This window comes from Homo sapiens, chromosome 13, assembly GCF_000001405.40.
Source record: "Homo sapiens chromosome 13, GRCh38.p14 Primary Assembly".
Taxonomy (NCBI): Eukaryota; Metazoa; Chordata; class Mammalia; order Primates; family Hominidae; genus Homo; species Homo sapiens.
In genome coordinates this window covers 110,245,815-110,259,505 of record NC_000013.11, presented here as the reverse complement: position 1 = coordinate 110,259,505, position 13,691 = coordinate 110,245,815, and the positions used below count along the sequence as shown (strand labels likewise).

The following is a 13,691-nucleotide window of genomic DNA, read 5'->3' as shown; positions in this document are numbered from 1 at the left end:
ATGGACAATGTTGATTCCTTCACCTCCTTAGGCTAAAATAAGATTTCCCATCTTGTGTTTTGCTCCACCTAGATTTTGTAGACACGCTTAAAAATTTTTTTTAAGTAGTATTGTTAATGAAATACTTTCAGTTTGTTTCAGATTTGCACAAAGTTTAGAATAAATATGTCCTGACTGGAGAGTGAATCATGCAATTAGTCACTGGACTGAGTGAGTTAGAACCACCTAATTAGGGTCAATGAGCTAAAAAATAAAAATAAAACAATTAAGGCTAGACGGAAGAGGAGGAAATGGTGACTTTTTGAAAAGAAAACAAGGTCTGGAGAGTATTGCCTTAAAAAGGTAAAATGTGCAAATTAACAAGATGGAAAAAACCATTGAGTGTGGTTCTGAAAACTGAGCAAAGGGCGCACGCGTCAGAAATGGCTTTGGAAGCCAAGGGCCTCACTCCAGGGACCGGGCGGCCCCGTGTCATCTGAAGTCTTTGCATCCGCAAAGGATCCCATAGGTTGCTCAGGATCGCCGGTGAATGAGATCCTCAGGTTAAATAAATATTTTGGTGACAGATCAAGGCTGCATATATCTATCATACATGTATTTTCCACTTTTAATGCTATGAAATGCAATGAAAGACATCTAATATTAAAACTATGCTGAACTTATTTTTTGAAGATATTTAATGATTTAAGGATTTAAAATATATATATTGTGGGAACTACAGTGTATCAGCTTCTTTGCATAGTAAGACTACCAAGAGCTCTAGTTAAACCGAAATTGAAGTCAAAGCAACAACCAAAAAGTTAACATTGTTTATTACCTTATTTATTAAATTATCATTTATATCACCTGGCAATTTCAGATTGACTATTTTTTAATAAAGAGGCACATAGTTGGTGTAAATAGATGGAAATACATTTTCAAATTCAAAATATTTATTACCATTTAAATTTTCTTTTCTTTTTTTTTGAGATGAAGTCTCACTCTGTCACCCAGGCTGGTGTGCAGTGGCATGATCTTGGCTCACTGCAACCTCTGGCTCCTGGGTTCAAGCGATTCTCCTGCCTTAGCCGCCCGAGTATCTGGGACTACAGGCGTGCGCCACCACGCCTGGCTAATTTTTGTATTTTTTTAGTAGAGATGGGATTTTACCATATTGGCCAGGCTGGTCTCGAACTCCTGAGCTCATGCGATCTGCCCGCCTTGGCCTCCCAAAGTGCTGGGATTACAGGCATGAGCCACTGCGCCGGCTTAAATTTTATTTTCTTGAGTGCTGCCCGGTTCACTTTGGCTCCACGTGACTTCTGCTCATTTAAGCTTCACAGTATGTGGTAGCAAAAGGTTTTCTAGAATTTTCTGGATGTTAACATGCTTAATACAAGTTCTTTGTCTTTAGGAACCATATTTCTATTTCTACAAATCTCATAGCCTTGTTGTATTGTATGCACTGTAGGCAATGGGAAAATAAGTATTCAATGAATGTCAGTGAGAAAAGAAAGAAACGAGGGCTATTTGTGTATTACTCATTCAAATGGAAGGACCAGGGACATGGAATGAATTATATTTTCCATATTTTATGTATTTCTTATTTATTTTTATAATAAATTATGAATGGTTTAAGGCTGCTAAATATTCTTCTTAGGTTCCTTTGGAAAAGGCAAGAGTTCCTGAAGTTGTAGCACATTTCAATAGCTACATAGCATTACGCTTGTCAATTAATTAGACCATTTGGCTTCAAGAGTTGCTGGTAAACTCTATTTATGTATTCTCTTTTTTCATGTCTTAAGAGTGAGACTCCCCTCTCAGGGTTATAGTGGGGAAGTGTGGTTTGGAAAGGAGGCCTCAACATGCACTGACCTTGTACAGTTAACCACAGTGTCTCACAGGGTCCTGGAGAGATAGCTCTTGGCACCCTCTGCCACTGTTCAAATACCAGTGTATGTCATTGAGAGACCATGGCTTTGACCAGCAAAAGTTCAACTTTTCTCTGTGGTATACCTCAGTTTTTCTTCTTTAACCACAAATGTACTTGTGCTTTTAGGTAGGTCCTTTGGAAGTAGCACTTACGGTTTGCAGAGTAGCATTTTTGGTTTACCAGCCGTTATCTTCCATATTCTTATGGAGAGTTTTAGTTGCTGTTGTGCTCACATTTGCTCATGGCCTTGGAAGGATGTCGCATGGAAGTCTCCCAGATGGATCTCTGACCACTTGTCAAATGCAGAGAAGGTTTGCCGCAGGATCTCTTCCACATGTTCGTTATTCTGTAGGGTTTGTTATGTGCAGTTTCTATTTACATTATGTTTGAGTTTTCAAACCTGGTTTTAAAGATACAAATCAGATAATATTATCCTTAGAAGGTGATGTTTTCAAGAGTGATTTCTTTGGGTTTTGGGAACTGTGCAGCAGCATTTCAGAATCTATCTTTTATAAGTAGTATAAATTCTTCCATTTATTTTTGAAAAGTGGCTTTGCAAGTGAGTGCAGTTATGAAAACTACACTTTAGTTTCATTCTGGCTGGCTGGGATTAGTCTAAACATGAAGATTTTTTTAAAGACATGTCTGGTGTCTGACAAAAGAGATGAACAGCTATGATTGCTATCATAGAGACTATTTAATAGTCCCTCTGTGAAATGGAAGTAATATTAAATTAATCAATAGAATGCATTTGTTGAATGCATAGTGAGTGCGTGGTTAGATCCTATCCCACAGGAAAGAATATCTATTTGCTATCCTTGTTGCTGAAAGTATCGGATAGACCCCCCCGCCGCCGGTCTGGGGCATGAATAGAGTGTAGCTGGGTTAAAGTGGATGCAAACCCCTCACCCCATGGCCGACCTCCGCATTTCCAGTTGCACCTGTAAATACACCAGGGCTTCAACCCTCTTTAAACTTCCCAATGTTCTTCAAACTCCCTGTGCACGTTCTCATTTCCATATTTGGTTCCCTTGCTTTCTCTTTCTGGAATTTCCTCCTTTGCTTTCCCGGGCACTGACATCCTCCCTGTGGTTCTGGGCTCTGAGGTCCAGTTCACCTGCTCCCTCGAGGATGCACGTTCACAGTGCCTGCTGGTTCCTGACAGGGCAGCACCACTCAGCAAGTGGCCATCCTCCTCTGCTGTCTTCACCTCTTCCTCCCGAGTATCATCCTCGTCCAAAACCATTTTTCCTTCTCCAGCATCTTGTAGGTTTGTTGCAATCATCCTGTGGAGTCATTTAGTTTTTTTGATGTGTTTTTCCCCCCGGACTAGAATATGCCCGAAGGTAGAAACCACGCCCTATTCACCCTGTCGCTTGGGGCCCAGGACAACTCTTGAACATCTTAAACATTATATAGGTGTCTTGTCTCTAGCCGGAGATTTCATGGGGAGGAGGCTGAAATGTTAGGCAAGATTTTAAAACAGTTAGGTATGATTTAATAGATAAGAAGAACATGAGATATACAGCGTGATTTGTAGAATAAAAATCTTCACATAAAATTTGTCTAATTGACAGTAGAATTACCAGCTAAGAAAATGAGACCTATTACCTTCTCCTGTCATAAGATAAGGTCAGTCACAGTCTTTTCTTTCCTCTGCCTCCTTCCCCCTCCCTTCCTGCCTTCCCCCTCCCTTCCTGCCTTCCCCCTCCCTTCCTGCCTTCCCCCTCCCTTCCTGCCTTCCCCCTCCCTTCCTGCCTTCCCCCTTCCCTTCCTGCCTTCCCCCTTCCCTTCCTGCCTTCCCCCTTCCCTTCCTGCCTTCCCCCTTCCCTTCCTGCCTTCCCCCTTCCCTTCCTGCCTTCCCCCTCCCTTCCTGCCTTCCCCCTTCCCCCTCCCTTCCTGCCTTCCCCCTTCCCTTCCTGCCTGCCTGCCCCCTCCCTTCCTGCCTGCCCCCTTCCCTTCCTGCCTGCCTGCCCCCTCCCTTCCTGCCTGCCCCCTTCCCTTCCTGCCTGCCTGCCCCCTCCCTTCCTGCCTGCCCCCTTCCCTTCCTTTCCCTCCTTTCCCCCTGTTCCTGGTGGAATCACCGTTCTTTCATTGGGAAACCTCCTGTCTTCCCCTCATGACACTGAATTGGTCCTTGAGCCATGACCTGCCTCCCTCCCTTGCACTCTTCTCCCGCCTTCTTGCGGCTGCCCTGCTCTAGCTCCCATCCCCAAGGGCAAGGACGTCCTTGCAAGTCTCCTCATTTCCCTTCCCTCCTCATGCTAATACACTTGACACAAGTCTCACAGATGAATGCCACCAAAATCCAGCGAATGGGATAGGTCTCCCTCATCTCTAAACTTTTAGACCCTACCCAAGGCCTGCTAGAAAATGAGGTGGAAAACACTTGGCCTTTTGTGGGCACAGGCAGCTGCCCCACCAGTGTCCTTGCAGCACTCTGGCCTTCAGGCAGCCCTGTGCAGGGCTGAAGCCGACACCTGGGCTGTTCTGCTGGCACACAGACCTCCTCCGCGGGAAGTGTGCTCCTGCTGGCTTGTCCAGCCACCTTCCTTGTAATGGGCTTAGCGTGGTAGGGGCCACAGCTTCTCTCCTCTTAACCAGCAAGCTCCTTGAGAACACAGCTCATGTCTAAGTCATCCTTCACCCTCCAGATTGCAAGTACAGTGGCAAGCACATAGTAAGTGCTCATTAAATTGCTACCAAGTGAGTAAGAGTAGCAGGCCTGTTCAGTTGCATATTCCCCAGTTCTGTGGAAAAGGAGGGCTTACCTAAGTCTGCTTTTTAGAAGAGGAATTTATCTTTTTAGGATGGGGACACACAGAGAATGGCAGGAGGTCATATAATTTGGGTTACATTCCAAATCTCCACTGGAAGAGATTAGTGATGTCGCTATTCTGGGGGAGAAGATGAGCACAAAATCAGCAATGATTTAAAATATTTAATTGTTTAAGGAAAAAAAGTGGTCCTACTGCCACCACTGGTTTTACTAAACTCTGTTTTTGAGTTGCATGTCCGTCATGCTTGAAATATTTCACTAGTCACTTAGGCTTTTCATGTTTCCTTTTAAAGTATGTTACAAACTGTAGGGCTCCTTAAAGGGTCAGCTGGTGGAACGCAGTGGGATAAATAGAACATGGGCGCTGCTGTGTCTTCCTCAGAGCAAAGCCACCCTCCCGCTTCTGTGCTGTGTATCACTTCCCAGAGGCAAACGGAGCCCTCATGATATGCTTCAAAGAGAGTTCTGTTGATGGGAAAACTATCTGCATACTCCCTCTTGCTAGCCGTCCAGTAAACCTATGGATCATGGCATTAAGCTAGACCATTTGTTTGGAATTTCTCGCTTAATGTGACAATATGCAGTGCACTTCCTGGACCACAGAGGGATAGACAGCAGCTGTTGGCTAAGTCATCCTCTGATAGGAGCTAAGTGATCCTCTGTTAGGAGCTAAGTGATCCTCTGGTTTCAAACCTAGACCCAGTTGGGAGTTCTTCTGAAGGCTGAGTGCAGTAAAGGTTGTGGGTGGGGTCAGAGGGCATGGAGTTTTCCATGTGTGGTATCATGTTGGCGCTCAAAAAGTTTTATATTTTGGAGCATTTTGTATTTTGGATTTTGGGGTTAGGAATATTCAACCTGTAGCGCATTTCTTTTACAAACCTTCTCCTACTCCAATTAATCATGTTGATGGGCATGAAGACAGCACATTATACTTTATATATATACACACACACATACATATATACGTATAATTATACGTATATATAATACATACATACGTATAATTATACATATATACGTATAATTATACGTATATATAATACATACATACGTATAATTATATGTATATGTAATACATACATACGTATAATTATACGTATATGTAATACATACGTATAATTATATGTATATGTAATACATACATACACATATAATTATACGTATATGTAATACATACATACATATATAATTATAAGTATATGTAATACATACATACGTATAATTATATGCATATGTAATACATACATACGTATAATTATATGTATATGTAATACATATATACTTATAATTATATGTATATGTAATACGTATAATTATATGTATATATAATACATATAATTATATGTATATGTAATACATATAATTATATGTATATGTAATACATATAATTATATGTATATGTAATACATATAATTATATGTATATGTAATACATATAATTATATGTATATGTAATACATATAATTATATGTATATGTAATACATATAATTATATGTATATGTAATACATATAATTATATGTATATGTAATACATATAATTATATGTATATATACCTAATTATATGTATATATACCTAATTATATGTATATATAATACATACATACATATAGTTATATGTATATATAATACATACGTACATATAGTTATATGTATATATAATACGTACATATAGTTATATGTATATATAATACATACGTACATATAGTTATATGTATATGTAATACATACGTACTTATAGTTATATGTATATGTAATACATACGTACTTATAGTTATATGTATATGTAATACATACGTACTTATAGTTATCTGTATATGTAATACATACGTACTTATAGTTATCTGTATATGTAATACATACGTACTTATAGTTATCTGTATATGTAATACATACGTACTTATAGTTATCTGTATATGTAATACATACGTACTTATAGTTATCTGTATATGTAATACATACGTACTTATAGTTATCTGTATATGTAATACATACGTACTTATAGTTATCTGTATATGTAATACATACTTATAATTATATGTTTATATGATACATACATATAATTATATGTATAATACATACATACTTATAATTATATGTATAATACATATATACATATAATTATATGTATATATACATATTATATGTATATATACATATATACATTTTGTATATAAGTATATATAATATATACAATTATACATATATAATACATATATACGTATAATTATACGTATATAATACATATATACGTATAATTATACGTATATATAATACATATATACGTATAATTATACGTATATATAATACATATATACGTATAATTATACGTATATATAATACATATAATTATATGTATATAATACATATACGTATAATTATACATATATAATACATATACACATATAACTATGTGTAGAAACATGCTTTAAAATTAAATGTTATTATAAATTTGGAGATTGTAGATGGAATAGATTAAAATGTAATTTATTTGGCTGGGAGTGGTGGCTCACACCTCTAATCCCAGTGCTTCGGGAGGCTGAGGTGGGTGGTTCACCTGAGGTCAGGAGTTCGAGACCAGCCTGGCCAACATGGTGAAACCACGTCTCTACTAAAAATAGAAAAATCAGCCAGGCATGGTGGCAGGCACCTGTAATCCCAGCTACTTGGGAGGCTGAGACAGGAGAATTGCCTGAACCCGGGAGAGGGAGGTTGCAGTGAGTTGAGATCGCGCCACAGCACTCCAGCCTGGGCAACAGAGCGAGACTCTACCTCAAAAAAAAGTAATTTATTTATGATTAGGAATTAATAAAGAAGACACTTATGCCCAGTTGTTGGAATTTCTGTAAGTCTTCCCGTAAATGTGCTATCACTTTTCAGACAGCAATTATAGACTCCTTTATCAGAGTCAGTGTTACTGGGACTAAGGAGAATTAAGGCGGAGAAGACTGTGCCTCTGCTGTAAGTCAGGTGTGGGTTCAAGGTCTTTATGCTCTCAGGCTGTGCGGCCAAGATCTGAAAAGTTAAACTCCTGTCTGCCTCAGGAATGTGCTGTCTTAATTCTGTACCGGCTTGCACCTGTGCCTGTCTGGCAGCCTGTTCTCGCCGTCTTTCCCTCATCCTGGGTTCTTCCTAGGTGAACAGCCCTGACTTTTCGCAACTCAGCTGAAGTGTGCCCTACCTTGGGGGTCCCCGAGTCCCCCTCTGGCATGCCCGTGAGTCTCTGCTCACCTCCCTTGCAGCCCACGTTTTATTGTAATTTCACCTTTCCTTATCCAGCTTGCTCACACACTCAGCTCTGTATTCTTAGCACTGGGGGGTGCCTGGCCCATGCAGGCGTGCAGTAGATGGGAAGTGAATCTCACCACCTGTTAAGAAAAAGATAAGTATGACTGGGCACTGCCAGGAGCTGTGAAGGAGTGCCTGGCACAGGCCTGCTGGTGCTTCCCCTGCCCCACCCACTCACCCTAGTCTTGGGCATGGGGCCTTGGGGCTGTCTTGCGTGGGCTGGGCTTGGGAGTCAGATGTTGAAAGTGAAGGCAGAAGCCCACATGGCCGGTGCAGGCCAGGGTGGCACCAGGGTGTGGAAGGAGTAGGCCATGGAAGATGAAAACCGGGAATAGCTGGGAGAACTCCCTGCCCTTCAGCACAGCCGGGAGCCGCACAGTTCTCCAAAGCTGGAAGAAATAGTCCAACGTCTTTTTTCGTGCCTGTCTGGGTAAAATTTGCTGTTCTTCAAAGGGTGCCTGTAAAATAGGCACTGGTGGAATGAAGGGGTTAAAGATGAAAGTTACAAAGGATGGGAGCAGGGCTGGTGGGAAAAGAATCCGGGGAACCGGGAAGAGTAGCTAAGAGTGACAACTCTATGGGTGGGAGATTCCTTCTCTGGAATTAGGGAGTTTGAGTTTCATTGAGAGAACGAAATGTCTCTCAAGTCTACATATTTGCCTGGAGCTGACACTTGGTTTGGGAGGGGCTCCGTGGGACCCGGATGCTGGGGACGCACTGGCCTTGCCCCACTGTGCTAGTGCGTCAGGCCAGTGACTCACAAGCACGGGAAGGCTCGCCCCAGGTCATGCCTCCCAACAGTGTTTCCACCCATGGGTCCCAGCAGACACACACGAAGCCCACCAACTCATTTCACACACAGCCATCCAAGGAACCACTGACCCATGGCAACTAATCATACTCACATCTGCTTGCAGCTGGACAAAGACCAATGACCTGGAGGTGAAGTGCCGGTCTTCATGGTCATTCCCTCCAGGCCATCCTATTCCCCAAGCAGGAACATTTAATGTCCACCCCCGTTTAGTGGGAAAAAGGGAAGAAAAGAAGTGAAACATGAGTCAACAAAATTATATGACAGGGAAAATGAGACCAGAACTTTAGTCACATGTTGTTCCTAAGAGAAGCCAAGAAAACACCCTCATTTCCTCAAGGCGTGTGGTTTCTTGGGAGCCTTTCTGCCCTGCAAACTCAGTCTCTAATTGAGAAGCAGAATAGAGCATGTACCTCACATGTACAAATCTTAGTCATACTACAGCACAGAGAGAGACATGTTACATATTAGAAATTCACTGTTTCTCACATTTTTTGTGCTTTTTTTTTTTTTTGCCAAGAATGTATCAACTCTTGTTGTTTTCAAATTAGGGCAGAAATATTGTGTAACTCTAAACAGTAGTAGGGACTGTTTTGTTTCTATGTCTTCCATTATTAAATGGAACAGAAATATTATTTTATTTACCTAAGTTGTCCTTTCAGGGGAGTTAATGATGAATAATTATTTTCACATCTTTGGGATCACATCTATCTTACATTAGTCAAAACAAATGATGATGATAATAAAACAAATGCAGATGAAAGCACAATGATTTTGAGTTCTGTGAGAATAAGGGAGAGAAGTTAATTTTACCTTTAAAACCACAATACTAAGTATATTTTTGGAAGTTGAAAAATGTTATGCAAATGTAAGCTTTTAAGAAATCATTATTTGTACTACAACATTTGGCCTATATTTTACTGTTTTTTAAGTAATTTTTAAATGCCATGGACACTTTTTTGGGGAGCTAATTTTATTGAAGTTTATCAACTTACAGAAACATATCAAAGGCGAAGGGTACAGCTCAGTGCATTTTCCCCAAAGTGAACATAGCAGTGAACCCAGACTACGGACCAGAACATTACCAGAAGGCACGAAGTCCCTGGAGTCCTCTTCTAGTCAGTAGCCCTCACGAGTAACCAGGATCCAACGTCATCTTGTTCGGCTTTGACTTTTACAGGAATGGAGTCACCCAGTTTGTCTTCTTTTGTGCCTGCTTCAGCTTGCTGCGGGTGCTGTAGCTGGCCTGCCCTGGTGTGGCCGGGGACTCCCTTCCGTGAATATACCCCATCGTTTCTCAGTCCCTTGAACTGTTTCCAGCTGGGGCGATTGTGGATAGTGCTGCTGTGAACAGGCTTAAGCACGTCCCTTTTTCTCGAATTTTATTGAAATACAACAAAGTGCAAACATCACAAGTGCACAGCTCGATGAGTTTTTACCGACGTATACACCCGTGTAGTCACCGCCCGCAACAAGCAAAGAATGTTTCCTGCACCCCAGAAACCTCCCTTGTCCCTACCTTTGCCACACCCCCGCAGAAGGTCATCACAATTCTGACTTCTTTTCCCCATAGACAGATGCCTCCGTTCTTGAATTTCATATGATGGGATCATACAGAGTGTGCTCTCTCTGGAGAAGTTTTAAGATTCTTTTTTAGGGCATTCTTGGGCCCTGGGGGTCCATGGAGCTGGGGAGAGCCATTTTGCAGAGCCTCACAGCCACCGCGGTTAAAACAAGCGTGACACAAGCAGCACAGCGGCAAACAGGACAGAAGCTAGAAAGTCCATTCTCCACGTGCAGTCTTTGAGGTTTCGCTATCCGAAAAAAGTGTGAGTGCCTGCTGCATCTGTGTGTGGTTATCTTTTATTCACCACACCAGCATTTTGTGTGTGTGAATGAAGTGGAATTTAAAATAATAGAATTGAGGCCGGGTGCGGTGGCTCACACCTGTAATCCCAGCGTTTTGGGAGGCTGAGGCGTGTGGATCACTTGAGGCCAGGAGTTCGAACCAGCCTGGCCAACATGGCGAAATCCCATCTCTACTAAAAATACAAAAAAATTATCCTGGCGTGGTGGCCCGTGCCTGTAGTCCCAGCCACTCGGGAGGCTGAGGCAGGAGAATCGCTTGAATCCAGATGGCAGAGGTTGCGGTGAGCCGACGTCGCGCCAGTGCACTCCAGCCTGCGCCACAGAGCGAGACCCCAGCAGGACGTGATGAAGGTCAATGGGGTTTTGTCCAACTTGCCTCAGTTGGAGCAACGTACCAGTGCGCCCCTGCCGTGTGGCCGTGGGGCTTATCCCTGGGAGTGGAATTTGGGGGAAGGAGCCGGGGCCAGGGGCCAGGGCCCAGCTACAGCGGAGGCGGCTGAGCGCCTTCCAGAGGGTTGGGAATGTCCCGCTCGCAATCCCGCCGGGAGCGTGTGGGGCCCGCGCTTGCTGCGTACTCTTAATTCTGCCCAAGTAGCCCTAAGATACAGTCTCTTGCCTCCATACGCTTATTTAGTTGGGTAGGGAATTATTTAAAAGACTCCCCGAGGAAGTGCTGCAACCAGGAAGAGCCCTCGACGGCAGTATCACCAGGAAAGTATTTTGACATTTTTGCACAGCATAGGGAATGCGAGAAAGAATTTGAAAGATAAGCTGTTTAGACTTGGCAGATCTCCACATGTCCCTATTTGGTGGGATGTGAAACACATAAAAATTGTGAAAGCTGCGATGTTAAAGGTCTATCTTCCATCAAAAGCAGGAAAAAAAATCAGAAAATTGAGGACCTCATCCTGTTTAACTCATTCCAAATATGCCTTCATCAGAAGACATGTCCCAGTTAAACTGTATAACACTGCACCCTTCTCCCCTCCCTCCCTCCCTCCCTCTCTCTCTGCCACACACACACACACACACACACACACACACACACACACACACACGAGTAGCATAGCAGCTGGTATTCTTCGGTTCAGTTAAAAAGGCATTCTGTAAACAGAATGAGTGAGCTTTCCTCTTTTTGCATCCTCTGGAATGGAATTCACTGTAATCTTGAGAAGAGCGCCCTCTTGGTCTGTAGATGCGAGAAAACCAGAAATAGGCTTTATTTCTTATTAAAACCATTGACTTCTCTTCCTCCCCTTTCTTCTTTGGCACTCGTACTGTGTATTGTAAAATCTTTGTGTATTTTAAGAACTTAATATACTTTATAACGTGAATACTGATGGTGGATCTCTGAATATCTTAATTGGAGCATGAAAGAAAAGTTTCACAGTATTAATTATTTTAACATATCCTGAAAAGTTTAAGAGACTTTTAGAGAATATAAAAGATATTTGGTTTAGGGATTACTTTGTAGTACCTTTTGCATTCCTTTCATATTGTATTTTTTGTTTTCGTTTAAAGCTGATCTCTGCTATTGAAGTTATGTGTGCGTGTGTGTGTCTGACAGAGTCCACTGGGGACTATTATTATTATTTTCTTTTCTGTTTCAAACACAGTTAAGTCAGTTTGGCTTCCATTTGGAGACAACTTATTATACTCTGTAGGCCACATGGTCTATGGGGAAGAGGCTAAAAGGACTTTCAAAACTGACTTGGTTTTCATTAAGTTTGTCTACAGTTTTAGGAGTATAAATAATAAATTCACCCCCAACCCCAAGAGCTTTCTAGGGTCCTCTTTTTCCACATTGGTCTGGGGTACCTGTGTTGCTGTTGTCCATGGCTGGTCTGCTTTTATAAGAGAGACCGAGACCCCCGCCTTTCTTTCCTTTGAGAACTCCCAGCCATATTCCCCGTCTTCCAAGTGGAGACTGCCTTCGTGACCCACTTTCATCCTCATGACCACTCGGGTTAAGTGTGTGCCTCACAGGAGCACAACACAGGCATTGCTCCAGGAACTTGGAACTCATTGACCCTAGAACACCAATGAGGGGAAAACCAGGAAGAGGATGAGTACCGCACAGAATGTACCAGTTCTTCCCATTCTAGAATCTGAAACAGATGGTATGGGAGCTTATCTGTAGGGTCATCCAGACACCGGGAGAATGCAGAGCCCTCATAAAGGCCCTCAGATATGCAGCCAGCAGGGAGCCGGTGGAGTCCACCAGTCTGCATATAGCTTTAGATTTTTCTGGGAGTCCAGATGCAAGGTGTATTTCCTCAGGAAATGATGAAATGGTGACATAGCTTTTCACATGTCAGGTCACCAATGAAATTGTGAACCTGGGTAACCTGCATTATTTATGTACCCCTTTTAAACACAGTAATTTACAACAGTGAATTAAGACTTGCATTACCTGACTTTTATTTTAATTCACCATTTGAAGCTTATACATTACACCTGAGTGAAGGGGGTACTCAGGTCATCCTTTGTATTTTTTTTTTCTTTTTAGCAGTGAACCATTGAACTGCAGCTAAAATACCTTCATATGCCAGGGTGAAACCCAGCACGGGCCCTTATATGACAGAAAGGACCAGAATAGTGATATTTTAAAATAGATTTTATTTAACAAAGTAAACATACATCTTAGGATATTTGTTTGTCATTCTTGTCATTCTAAAGGCTAGCTTTTTTGTTTTTTTTTTTTAACAAAACCATTTACATAAAATGCTAGGCCACCCAGAATGTGACACAAAAATCATGATCTTAGACATCTTTTGTTCTGAAAAGCTAACCCTAATTTAGATATTTTTGGAATGATCAATTTTTTAGAATTGATAATCAAATTCCCTACACACATAAAGCCATGCATGTTTTTGGTCCAGGATTAAAAAAAATTACTTGCTTATGAAAAAGCGTAAGGTGGTGGGGGAAGGCCGGGGTCGGGGGTCAGTCCTGTCTCATCTCTGATTTTCCCCAGTGTTCCTTAGTACCTGAAGTGGTCCCCAGGGTAAAACTACCCACCCGCCTGTCACCG

The 13,691-nt window shown here is 41.8% G+C and overlaps 1 protein-coding gene and 1 long non-coding RNA gene across 3 annotated transcripts in view; one reads left to right on the top strand and one right to left on the bottom strand.

Annotated features, from left to right (window-relative positions):
• Window positions 1-13,691, top strand: part of COL4A1 (collagen type IV alpha 1 chain) — a 158,195-nt gene that overhangs the window by 47,652 nt on the left and 96,852 nt on the right. The window lies entirely within an intron of this gene.
• On the bottom strand, window positions 2,822-9,064 carry LOC124903212 (uncharacterized). Its single transcript, XR_007063872.1, has 3 exons — window positions 8,883-9,064; window positions 7,921-8,057; window positions 2,822-3,198 (listed from the first exon to the last, which is right to left on the bottom strand). It is a non-coding gene; the product is annotated as an uncharacterized LOC124903212 (long non-coding RNA).